The following is a 12,315-nucleotide window of genomic DNA, read 5'->3' as shown; positions in this document are numbered from 1 at the left end:
TTTTACCATGTGGCAAGTAGTTAAAAAGATGAAGTTTATAGTTCCAAGAACACAAACTATGTTATGGAATAGGACGAAACACAAGGAGTAAAGTAGTCCCTTGTTTTTGCTTTAGGTTACTCACCTTGCTATCCGTAATTGTATTCACTGAAGTATTGAGGAACACATTAACGTTGGTTTCAGATTTGTTGACTTTAAGTTCTACATCTGAAGTATGTTGGCACTTTGACCTTGCATAATTCAAAGTCATGTCTCTGCACCACTGTTTCATTCTATATAAAGTGATTGACAATAATAGTTTTCCCACCAAAGTTGGACTTCCATTTCTGTCAATTGGCCAAACTGGGTTTCCTAAAAAGCCTTGTAGCTCTACAAAATATCAGAACATTATATCAAGTCTACTTTTAAGTAAATGTGAAGCTCTCAAGGAAGCCCTGATGGCAATCCAGAAATAGATAAAAGCAGTACAGGAGCTAGAGTTGCCTGGGGAACAGAAACTGACCTGGGTTACCCAGAGTTTGGGGTATTAACAACTACTCAGGGGAAAGTAAAAGTAGGCCTTGGACACATAAAATGTTGGGAAGGCTGAGCCAGACTTCTTGCACATAGCCGAGTCACAATAGGCTAAGAACATGAATTTAGGAAGGAAAGCAAAAAAATCTACAAGCAGTATGAAAAAAAAAATCTCCAACACCTTGATACATTTTAATGAATCATCAGATGACAAAGAAAAATACAAATTCTTGAAAGTGCCAGAGACAAATCAGAGATTCCTAGAGTGAAAAGAATGTCCACATTTTAATGGGGTTGTTTGTTTTTTTATTGTAAATTTGTTTAAGTTCCCTGTAGATGCTGGATATTAGACCTTTGTCAGATGGATAGATTGCAAAATTTTTCTCCCATTCTGTAGCTTGTCTGTTCACTCTGATGACAGTTTCTTTTGCTGTACAGAAGCTCTTTAGTTTAATTAGATCCCATTTGTCAATTTTTGCTTTTGTTGCAATTGCTTTTGGCATCTTCATCATGAAATATTTGCCCATACCTGTGTCCTGAATGGTATTGACTAGGTTTTCTTTTAGGTTTTTTATAATTTTGGGTTATACATTTAAGTCTTTAACACATCTTGTGTTGATTTTTCTATATGGTCCATTTTCTGCATATGGCTAGCCAGAGTTCTCCCAACACCATTTATTAAATAGGGAATCCTTTCCCCATTGCTTGTTTTTGTCAGGTTTGTTGAAGATTAGATGGCTATAAGTCTGTGGTCTTAGTTCTGGGTTATCGTTTCTGTTCCCTTGGTCTATGTGTCTGTTCTTGTACCAGTACCATGCTGTTTTGGTTACTGTAGCCTTATAGTATAGTTTGAAGTCAGGTAGTGTGATGCCTCCAGCTTTGTGTTTTTCGCTCAGGATTGTTGTGGCTATCTGGGCGTTTTTTTTTTTTTTTTGGTTCTATGTGAATTTTAAAATAGTTTTTTTTAATTCTGTGAAGAATATCAATGATAGTTTAATGGGAATAACATTGAATCTATAAATTGTTTTAGACAGTATGGCCATTTTCATGATATTGTTTTTTTCTTATCCATGGGCATGAAATGTTTTTTCATTTTTTGGTGTCATCTCTGATTTCTTTGAGCAATGTTTTGTAGTTCTCTTTGTAGAGGTCTTTCAGCTCCCTGATTAGCTGTATTCCTAGGTATTTTATTCTTTTGTGGCAATTGTGAATGGGAGTTCATTCGTGATTTGGCTCTTGGCTTGCCTGTTGTTGGTGTATAGGAATGCTAGTAATTTTTGCACATCGATTTTGTATCCTGAGACTTCGCTGAAGTTGCTTGTCAGCTTAAGAAGCTTTTGGGCTGAGATGATGGCATTTTCTAGATATAGGATTATGTCATCTGCAAACAGAAATAGTTTCCCAAGAAGGGAGTTAAAACAGGAACATCTCACAGCCATTACAGAAATTGAAGCAGTATTTATGTATCTCAATTAAAACCAAACCACCATAAACGTATTTCTTTGAAAAATATCTTTTTTTTTTTTTTGAGATGGAGTCTGGCTCTGTCGCCCAGGCTGGAGTGTAGTGGCGCCATCTTGGCTTACTGCAAGCTCCACCTCCTGGGTTCATGCCATTCTCCTGCCTCAGCCTCCCGAGTAGCTGGGACTACAGGCGTCCACCACCATGCCCGGCTAATTTTTTGTATTTTTAGTAGAGCCAGGGTTTCACCGTATTAGCCAGGATGGTCTCAATCTCCTGACCTCGTGATCCGCCCACCTCGGCCTCCTGAAGTGCTGGGATTACAGGCGTGAGCCACTGTGCCTGGCCGAAAAATATCATTTTTAATGCCTGCTAAAATATTCCACTATATGGATATACCAAAACTTACTACGTGACTTAGTAATTAAATGTATTTATATTCTGTCTTGAGTTTGCCTCCCATGTTTCAAATATACTAGTCTTCTCAGTTACATTGTCAAGGCCATTATTTATATTTTGATGGTATTCTCAGCACCAGCTGTTGTGATCATTGAAATGTATTCTTGACCTTAGATGCTCACTGCACACTTGACAGATTGGGAACTGAGTAGAGGTGCTTGTTAGTATCTGCATCTCAGTGGCTGGGGACAGCTGGACTCAGCTTGTGTGACTCATGCAAAGTCAGATGATCAGTCATAGAGGGAACTTGGAACTTAAAAGTGTAAACTGAAACTTACGCTTTTAAAAATTATTCTATCTCACATAGTGAGAAATCTTTATGACTCTTTAGTCTACAAAAGGGATCAGTGAACAGTTTCTGTAAGGTGACAGATGATATGGTATAGAGTAGTTCCCCCATCCATGGTTTCACTTTCTGTGGTTTCAGTTAAATGTGGTCAACTGTGGTCTGAAAATATTAAATGGAAAATTCTAGAAATAAATAGTATATAAGTTTAGATTATATGCTGTTTTGAGTAGTGTCCCTCCTAGAACATGAATCACCACTTTGTCTAGCATATCCATGCCTTATACGCTACCTGCCCGTTAGTCACTTAGTAGCCTTCTGAGTTATCAGATTGACTGTTGAGGTATCACAGTGCTGTGTTTAAGGAGCCCTCATTTTACTTAATAATGGCACCAAAGCACAAGAATAGTGATGCTGGCTTATTGTTAGAATTGTTCTATGTTATTAGTAGCTATTGTTGTTAATCTCTTACCGTGCCTAATTTATAAACTTTATTATAAATATATATGTAAAGGAAACACAATATGTATGGTGTCCTGTACTACTGAAGATTTCAGGTGTCCACTGAGGATCTTGGAAGGAATCCCCTGTGGATAAGGGTGCACCACTGTAAATATGTTCAGCTTTGAGGGCAACATAGTCTCTGTCACAACTGCTCTACCTGCAACAGCGCCAGACAAATCTGGCTAAATTTAATCCAACAAAGTTATGAGTTGGTCTGAGCCCTCAGGCTGAAGGTCATGTAAACTGAGCATGCCCAGATGAACCAAGTATGCAACCACAAGGGGAACAGAAGTGCCCAGACCAAGGAGAAGACCAAGGAGCAGGGACTGAATTAAGAAGCAGACGCAGTATGGAAGGATCCAGGATCCAATCAAATTGAGCTCTGGCATCAGCCCATTGTGGAATCGAATCAGATCATGCCTCCTGGCATCATCTCATTGCAGAATTCAATCAGATCACACCTCATTACCCTATGCTTATAAAACCCGACCCAAACGCCAGCTGGGGGTGATATATTGGAGCACTTCCTCCTGTCTCCTTGCCAGTCCACTTGCAATGAAGCTTTTTTTTCCTCAAAAGCCAGTGCCGTGGTCTTGGCCTCCATGTACATTAGGCAGCAAGCCCATTGTTTGCTCAGTAACACCCTACCTTTGCATCCCTTTGTATCGTGAAAACAGCCACAGAGACAATGTAAATGACTTTTATCTCATTTAAATGAATTGTCAACCTCAGCTAAATTACTACTTATCATATAAACAGAAAATGTAAATAAACTGATTATTTCTTTCCATCCATGTTTTTACTGTCTTCATGTATAGCATGTGTAGGATTTTGAAGTTAACTGTTTCTGAAAACTTACTTGCAAATTTTTCAACACTGCAAAAATTGCTTAAAATAATGAAACCAAGAAAATTAAGCCAGGTTAAAAACATAAAAGAAGAAAAGGAAGGAGGGCAGGCAGGTAGGCATTCGTTAAAAGCTTCTTTCCCTCAGCATACTATTATTTGCGATTCAGCTGTCTTGTTGTGTTTATCAGTAAGTTGATTCTTGGCCAGGCACAGTGGCTTCACGCCTGTAATCCCAGCTCTTTGGGAGGCCCAGGCACGTGGATCACTTGAGGTCAGCAGTTTGAGACCATCCTGGCCAACATGGTGAAACCCTGTCTCTACTAAAAATACAAAAATTAGCCGGGTGTGGTGGCGGGCACCTGTAATCCCAGCTACTCCGGAGGCTGAGGCAGGAGAATCGCTTGAACCCGGAGGTGGAGCTTGCAGTGAGCCGAGATCTCACCACTTGCACTTCAGCTTGGGCAACAGAGTGAGACTCCTTCAAAAAAAAAAACAAAAAAAAAGTTGATTCTTTTTATTGTGAGTACTGTTCCATTGTATACCATTTGTTAGCCCATTTTCTTATTGATGGACAGCTGGGATGTTTAGATGTTAGAAATAAAGATGCCTTGAACTATCATAAGTTTTCATGTGAACCTATGTTTTTTAGTTCTCGTGGGATTAGAACTGCTGGGACAGAGGATCAGTGAAACCTTAATTTTTTTTTTTTCTTTTTGAGATGGAGTCTCTGTCACCCAGGCTGGAGTGCAGTGGCGCGATCTCGGCTCACTGCAAGCTCCGCCTCCCGGGTTCACGCCATTCTCCTGCCTCAGCCTCCCAAGTAGCTGGAACTACAGGCGCCCGCAACCACACCCAGCTAATTTTTTGTATTTTTAGTAGAGATGGGGTTTCACTGTGTTAGCCAGGATGGTCTCGATCTCCTGACCTCGTGATCCACCCACCTCGGCCTCCCAAAGTGCTGGGATTACAGGCATGAGCCACCACCCCCAGCCGAAACCTTAATTTTATGAAATGTTTTTTATGTTCCAGACCTTAACTGATGAGCTTTTAAAACTAACTTCTAAATTTGAAATGTATATTTAATTATGGAATACGCTTTAATGTAATCTTTTGGGATAATCACCTAATATTTTGCCTTGAGATTTTTAATATAAATAACAATAAAATAAATAACTAATAGTAAATGAATACCTTCTCAATCTTCCTAACCTTGGAATGTGGGGACAGGATGTGAAAATATCTTAGAGTTTTGAGATCTTTACACGGTTCCCTCAAGGCTTTTAAAAAGAGTATTTCATTGCTGGTAGTGGTAGCTGACGCCTGTAATCCCAGCATTTTGGGAGGCCGAGGCGGGTGGATCACCTGAGGTCAGAAGTTCAAGACCAGCCTGGTCAACATGGTGAAACCCCGTCTCTACTAAATATACAAAAATTAGCCAGGCGTGGTGACAGGCGCCTGCAATCCCAGCTACTCAGGAGGCTGAGGCAGAATTGCTTGAACCCGGGAGGCACAGGTTGCAGTGAGCTGAGATTGTGCCATTGTGCTCCAGCCTGGGCAACAGGAGCGAAATTTCATTCCAAAAAAAGAGTATTTAATTGTGTTGATTTTAATGATTACTGAAATTTGGGCTGTTTTTTTGAAACTATTTCTTGTTTCCTTTCTCTTTCCCTTGTAAATAAGCTGTAAGAGAAAACTGCTTAATCACAAAACGTAACATAAGGCTTTCATGTCAGTGTCCAATAAGAATGAATTTTTTATGGTGACAAGGTAGGGTTATAATCCAGATCTCTGGTAGGCACATCCATAAGGTGCAAGGTGTATAGAAAATAGCATCAGTTTTTTTGGCTGGGTGCAGTGGCTCACGCCTGTAATCCTAGGATTTGGGGAGGCTGAGGACTGTGGATCACCTGAGGTGAAGAGTTTGAGACCAGCAGATATGGTGTTCTTGTTCTCAAAGCCGAGGTGGGTGGATCACCTGAGGTCAGGAGTTCAAGACCAGCTTGGCCAACATGGCAAAACCCCGTCTCTACTAAAAATACAAAAATTAGCCAGGCGTGGTGGCAGGTGCCTGTAGTCCCAGTTACTCAGGAGGCTGAGGCAGGAGAATGGCGTGAACCCAGGAGGCGGAGCTTGCAGTGAGCCGACTGCACTTCAGCCTGGGCACAGAGTAAGATTCCATCTCAAAAAAAAAAAAAAAAAAAGAGTCTAGGATCCAGAGAAGTAAACTGTATTAATGATGTGGTCATATCCATGCCAGAGCTTATTTGGAAATGCACAGAATTGATTCCAAGATGTTTTAATAATGCAATCTGGGGTTTGCATCTCAAAGTAATGATCCATCAAGGATGGTCTTTAGAGCTATTTTCTAACTCACATGCTTAGTGGAGACTCACATCAAAATGCCCTGTTAATAGCAATCAGTAGCTGGTAAACTGAAGCCTGATTCAATTTGTATCATTTCCCTGCAAATTCGTACTCCATTTCTGTGCTATCACCTGAAGACCACCCACCCAAAGCTATTAGTATACAATATGATGTGTAAGAGAGCTCCATGACTTCTCTGTGGAATAAATTATTTCACCATATTTTTTAAAACTATTTTTCATGTTTATACTCAGAGTAAATGAGCAATGTTACAACTATTCTTCTCTGTAAATTGTCACACCTTAAGTTCCTTAGGATGGCTCAACTCTTTCACTCTTCCAGCATGGGAAATAATTGTTTAATAAAAATAAAACATAACAATGGATTCATGATCCAAAGAAGACAAAATAGAAGATTTTTTGTTTTCTATTTCTCTTGACTCCTCAGCTAATTGTACCACCACTAAACCTTTCTTTATCTCCCCCACCTCACAGGGTTAATCTCTAATGCTGCTCAACATTTTATATCTATGTGGAAACTACCATTTAACTAAATTTTGTTTGATGTGGAAAAAAAATCATTCTTTCAATATTTGATAATTTTGGATAGCTAAGCACTTTTGTTAGATTTTTATGTTCTTCAAGAGAAATAAAATAGAGGCAGTGGAAAGGATTACTTCTCAGTCCCCAGGGGTTGAATACTCACCCGGGGACTCAGTGCATTTGATTCCTGATACTCATTTAAGACCCCTTTTCATGCTTACTTACTAGGACTTCTTAAATTTGTCTTCTTCCAGGTGAAATAATTCAAAACAACTCAAGAATGGAACTACTGATTCATTAATAAAGAACAGAAAATAAACAAGGGCAAAACTTGAGAACATCAATACACAAAAACACAAAGACTCACTTAATTTTTATCTCAGATAAAAAAGGAAAGTAGTTTGCTGAATTTGCCTTTCTACTAAGAAGTCTTTGCTTTCACTTGGTTGGGAGGGTACTTAACATGAAGAAGCAGGAATTCCTGGAAAACAGGCCCCTTCTACCCTAACGTGTTTTCTGTGGGGCCGTTCAGTTATTGTCCCTAAGCAGAGGTAACTGGGAAATAGCCTTGGGCTGTAATTTTCCCATTTTACCTTAAGCAATATCATAACTAGCAACGTGTGACACCCAGGAGGTTTGTTTTCTAGATAACACTCTCTTTACAATATAAGGGCTCTTTGAGAGAGTTAATATAATAAATCCTCAGAGTAAAGTCTAGGATACTCTTTAGAAATTAAATATTACTTGAAACATATGAAAGCCATTCAGCAGGTGACAGAGCTATTTACAAATAGATTAAACATCTTTCAAGTAAATTATTATAACATTCATTAATGTTGTTAGTGTTTATGCACTAAAACATAGCCCAAAATAACATATTTTATCCTCATATTGTAACATAATTTATGTTACACTTGAACAAAAATCCCTCAATGTGCAGCTGATTTTAAATCCATCATCAGTTCTACTAGTCAAAAGTGGAGAATCTTTTTGCATTTGTACCTCTGGTAGCCAAAGTAATGTATCTTCTCTCCATGTTTCTTTATCCATCCATTCATTAATGTGCTGTTTTCACATTGCTTCGTTTTGAAATTGTCCATGGCCCAGCTGAACCAAGCAGAAAGATTTCCCAGGCTGGTTGCATTGTATTTCACCTTCTGTTGTCAATTCCTTTGGTCTCGTAAGAATAAAATCCTTTGGTCTCATAAGAATAAAATGAGTTTTTTTTTCCTTTGAGCATGTAGAATATTTTTGGTTATTGTTCAAAAGTGAAGCCACAAATCAAAAAATGTTTTTCTTCTTTGTTTATTTGCTCCTCTAGCAATGTATATTTCATATATGTGAGTGCTTATGTCTAAATTTCAGGTCTACATTCAGCACAGCATCTTCATGGACAGCTAATGAGATTGCAGATGGTAAAGCAGAACATGTGTGGTCATGGGATGAAACTACTCCAAATATCTTATTAAACCCTTACACTCCCCTCTCTCACAGGCCTCCTTTGCATAAACATTTTATATTACATTTTTATAAAGACATAGATAAATGAATACCTCCACTGTAATTTTTCTTAAAATTTAGCATGATTATCTCCTTTGAAGAATAGAATGGTCCTTTAATCAACCAATTAAAATTGTATAACCCACCGGAAGAATTCATATATTATGTTTAATAATTAGTCACAAACCATATGTCTGGGACTATTTAATATTGACTTTAGCTCCATGTATATTATTTCCATCTACTTTTTTATTTTAGTAGGTTAACAGTATGAGTATGAATATATGAATTTCTAAATGCAAAGAGATGTACTTTATTAAGCTTTGGATTGTCAAGGAGAGCAATGGTTAAATATGACTAAGGTCCATTTATATTTAACTCTGCTATTTTTTTCTGGAATTGACAGTATAGGTGAATGCATGCTGATATTGTACTTTCTCCTTTGAAATAATGAAGAAGCCAGACAAAAGGATTATTGCTTGCAGAAGAGAATAGAAAAAAGCAAGAGAACCAGGGAAAGAAGGACCCAATCCACTTTCTCTAAAATTATTCTTGTTTGAGACAATGACTGATTTCATGAGTATCTTCTTACCTCTCTCTGTCTTTTTATGGCATATTTTAAGGTTGATTTTTGAACTGCCTTTATAAATGTTTTCTAAGGTTTCAATGAAGGTAAATATGCCTTTGCAAACTATTTCTCAGGCTATGAACCATGAGTGTGTGGGTCAGTGAGTGGCAATGATGACATGCCACACTTGTGGAGAAATAAATGATGAAAGGTTAAATGCTTTTTGCCTTAGATCAGGAAGAAGAGGTTGTTCACTTGTTTAGAATGAACTCTCTGAGTTTCTTTATCTGCTCAGCTTGTAGCCATTGTTTCTGCAGCCACCAGAGACCCAGACAGAAGCGCAGCAGCAGGAGATCCACCTGCATGGGTCAGATTGCAGATGTGGCTTCAATGACATGACCACAGTGTGAAAGTTCCCTGGGGGGCACACAGCATGCTTAGAAAACACACACACACACACACACACACACACACACACACACACACACACACACACACACACACACGGAGGTCAATGCCTTTATTGGGTCCAGGGCATTATATAAACAAGGAGCTTTAAATTGATGGGCTTAAAGCAAGCAGGCACTAGTACTAGGAAGTCACATTGTGACTGAAAGTGTCTAAATGGTCTGTTTAGAGGAAGCAGCAGGAAAGCTGGGAGCCCAGCCTGCTACGAGACAGAGATGCCTCCAAGTTTTTATTTCTGGTCACCACCTGGAGCCATTTGGGGGGTATAGTACAGGAAACTGCATCAAGGGTGACTGAACCCTGCTTCTGGTTTGAGAAAGTTAAACACATATTTGAAAATGGATGCTAAGGCAACATAAAACTTTAAGCACTCACTGCAGCACATTTACCTCTTTTATTTACCATTGTATTGGAGGTTCTAGCCAAGATAAGATAATTAAACGAAGAATAAAGTAAAGGCATTCAGATTGGAAAGGAAGAGGTAAAATTAGCTCTACTTGCAGATGACATTACCTTTATATAGAAAACCCCAACAATGCCACTAAAAAAAATTATTGGAACTAATAAACAAGTTCAGCCTGACGGCAAGGTACAAGATCAATATACAAAAATTGTAGGGGCCCGGCCCTGCACAGCGCCCTGGGGAAGCTGGTTTGAAAGCTCTGGAGCGACCCCAGTGCCGGGTAAAGGACAAGATTTGCCCAGACGGAAGGGAACTTGGGGAGAGGTGGCCGTAAGAGTGTGGGATGAAAATGTTTCGGGCAGAGCGGTCGGAACACACCTGAGGAAAGCATGGTGGGAGGAGTCATTAATATGAATGAGTGGCAGGGACAGGGCGTCCTTGCAGCGCCCTCGGTGTTGGAAGGGAAGACCGTGCAGCGCGATGGGGATCAGGGCGGCGGGCCGCAGCCGGGGTGGGGTTGGGCGCCGGTCAGGGTGCCTTGAAGCAGATTCTGTCCTCAGGAGCTGCAGTTCTTCCTCCTCCGCCCTCACCGGCGGGCGACCTTAGGCAGGGAGTGAAATGCAACGGGAGCCCTGGAGGGAGGGTGAAGCCGCGCGTGCAGGAGGAACCTCCTATTGGCGAGTTCAGGTCCCCCAGCTGCGGAGGTGGGGGACCCTGTGTGGCAGCCTGCTGAGCGGCTGCGTGCTCCGCCCTTGGAGGGGGGAAGCTGTAGCCCCCCTCCTCTTTTTCAGCCAAGAAACCGCTAGTTACCCCCTTATGCAACCAAGACTGTAATAACCCTGTCACCTTTCACGGCCCTCCGGGTCTGCGCCCATCCTCTGAGTATTCACTCATCCACCCCGAGGCCTGTTTTCCTCACCTGTTGTCCCTCTGGCCGAACCTAGGCTCCTCGGAGACCAGCCAGCATCTATCTGCCCGCTGTTCCCACCCACCACACTCCCTCCCCAGTTCTATCCCAGCTCCTTAGACGGTTGGAGTTCAAACCTCAGACCATGACAGCACACAGGCCTGGACTCCGGTATGGCCCTGGACAAGTTCCTTAATCTCTCTGAGCCTCAGCTTTCTTCCACGTGAAGCAGCGGTAACATTGTTATTAGGAGCCTCCCGGCCCCAGCACACCGACATACATACAACTGGATATCCATCCTGCCTGTGAGGAGTCGTCTTTACTTTGGGTTGTTTCTTGTCCACAGAGGTCCACACTTTATTTTCCTGGAGGCACCAGCGGAGTCACTGATGCACCCCTGCATCCAGCATGTTTAAGGGAGACAGTCTGGGGAGGGCAGGAAGAGCCTAGAGGGTCCCCTAGTGATTAGGGCTGTGATGGGGATGTTACTGGAAAAGGGTCCCTATCCAGACCCCAAGAGAGGGTTCTTGGACCTCCTGCAAGAAGGAATTTGGGGCAAGTCCATAAAGTGAAAGCAAGCTTATTAAGAAAATAAAGGAATGAAAGAATGGTTACTCCATAGGCAGAGCAGCGGCAGGAGCTGCTCGACTGACTATACTTACAGTTATTTCTTGATCATATGCTAAACAAAGGGTGGATTATTCATGAGTTTTCCGGGAAAGGGGTGGGCAATTCCTGCAACTGAGGGTTCCTACCCTTTTTAGACCCTATAGGGTAACTTCCTGATGTTGCCATGGCATTTGTAGACTGTCCTGGCACTGGCAGGAGTGTCATTTAGCATGGAAATGCATTATAATTAGCATATAATGAGCAGTGAGGATGACCAGAGGTCACTTTCGTCACCATCTTGGTTTTGGCTGGCTCCTTTACTGCATCCTGTTTTATCAGCAAGGTCTTTGTGACCTGTATCTTATGCGGACTTTCTATCTCATCCTGACTTAGAATGCCTAAGCTAGTGGGAATGCAGCCTCACAGGTCTCAGCCTTATTTTACCCAGCCCCTATTCAAGATGGAATCGCTCTGGTTCGATCACCTCTGACAGGGGCAGTGTACATTCACATCTTGGCCTTTGCTGCCTCATCCTTCCAGATCTTTCAGATGCTTGCCCTCTGGCATTCTAGGATAGGAAGACTGCTTCCAAAGTGACGCAGGATTTTTCTCGGACACTTTTCCAACTGCAGACTTCTGGCTGGCGATGCCCCTGCCCATGCCTAGCTCTGCCCCAGGCAGGAGGTGCCCTGCCCACTTGGGCTTGCACTCTGGTGGGGATCCTGCAGCCACCGAGACTGCATGCTCAGCCCCAGTAGGAGGGGGTGTGTGATCAAGTGAGTGCCTCATCTTGCCAGCAACTCCAAGTGCTGGCGCAGGAGCGGGCTCCCTTTGGGGCCTGCAGCTGGATCAGGCCTGTCGGAAGTGACTCCGGGGGTGAACT

The 12,315-nt window shown here is 41.6% G+C and overlaps 2 annotated features.

Moving 5' to 3' along the window:
* Positions 9,945–10,490: an enhancer, noted in NCBI's record as "H3K4me1 hESC enhancer chr9:39604149-39604694 (GRCh37/hg19 assembly coordinates)". NCBI's record gives its function as "activates a minimal SCP1, AML or CMV promoter by ChIP-STARR-seq in primed H9 embryonic stem cells {active_cell/tissue: H9 hESC(primed)}" and the evidence as "EXISTENCE:reporter gene assay evidence [ECO:0000049][PMID:30033119]".
* Positions 10,491–11,036: an enhancer, noted in NCBI's record as "H3K4me1 hESC enhancer chr9:39603603-39604148 (GRCh37/hg19 assembly coordinates)". NCBI's record gives its function as "activates a minimal SCP1, AML or CMV promoter by ChIP-STARR-seq in primed H9 embryonic stem cells {active_cell/tissue: H9 hESC(primed)}" and the evidence as "EXISTENCE:reporter gene assay evidence [ECO:0000049][PMID:30033119]".

The sequence above is a fragment of the Homo sapiens genome, chromosome 9 (genome assembly GCF_000001405.40).
Source record: "Homo sapiens chromosome 9, GRCh38.p14 Primary Assembly".
Classification (NCBI taxonomy): Eukaryota; Metazoa; Chordata; class Mammalia; order Primates; family Hominidae; genus Homo; species Homo sapiens.
Note: the sequence above shows the minus strand (reverse complement) of the source record. Positions and strands in the feature narration are given on the sequence as shown.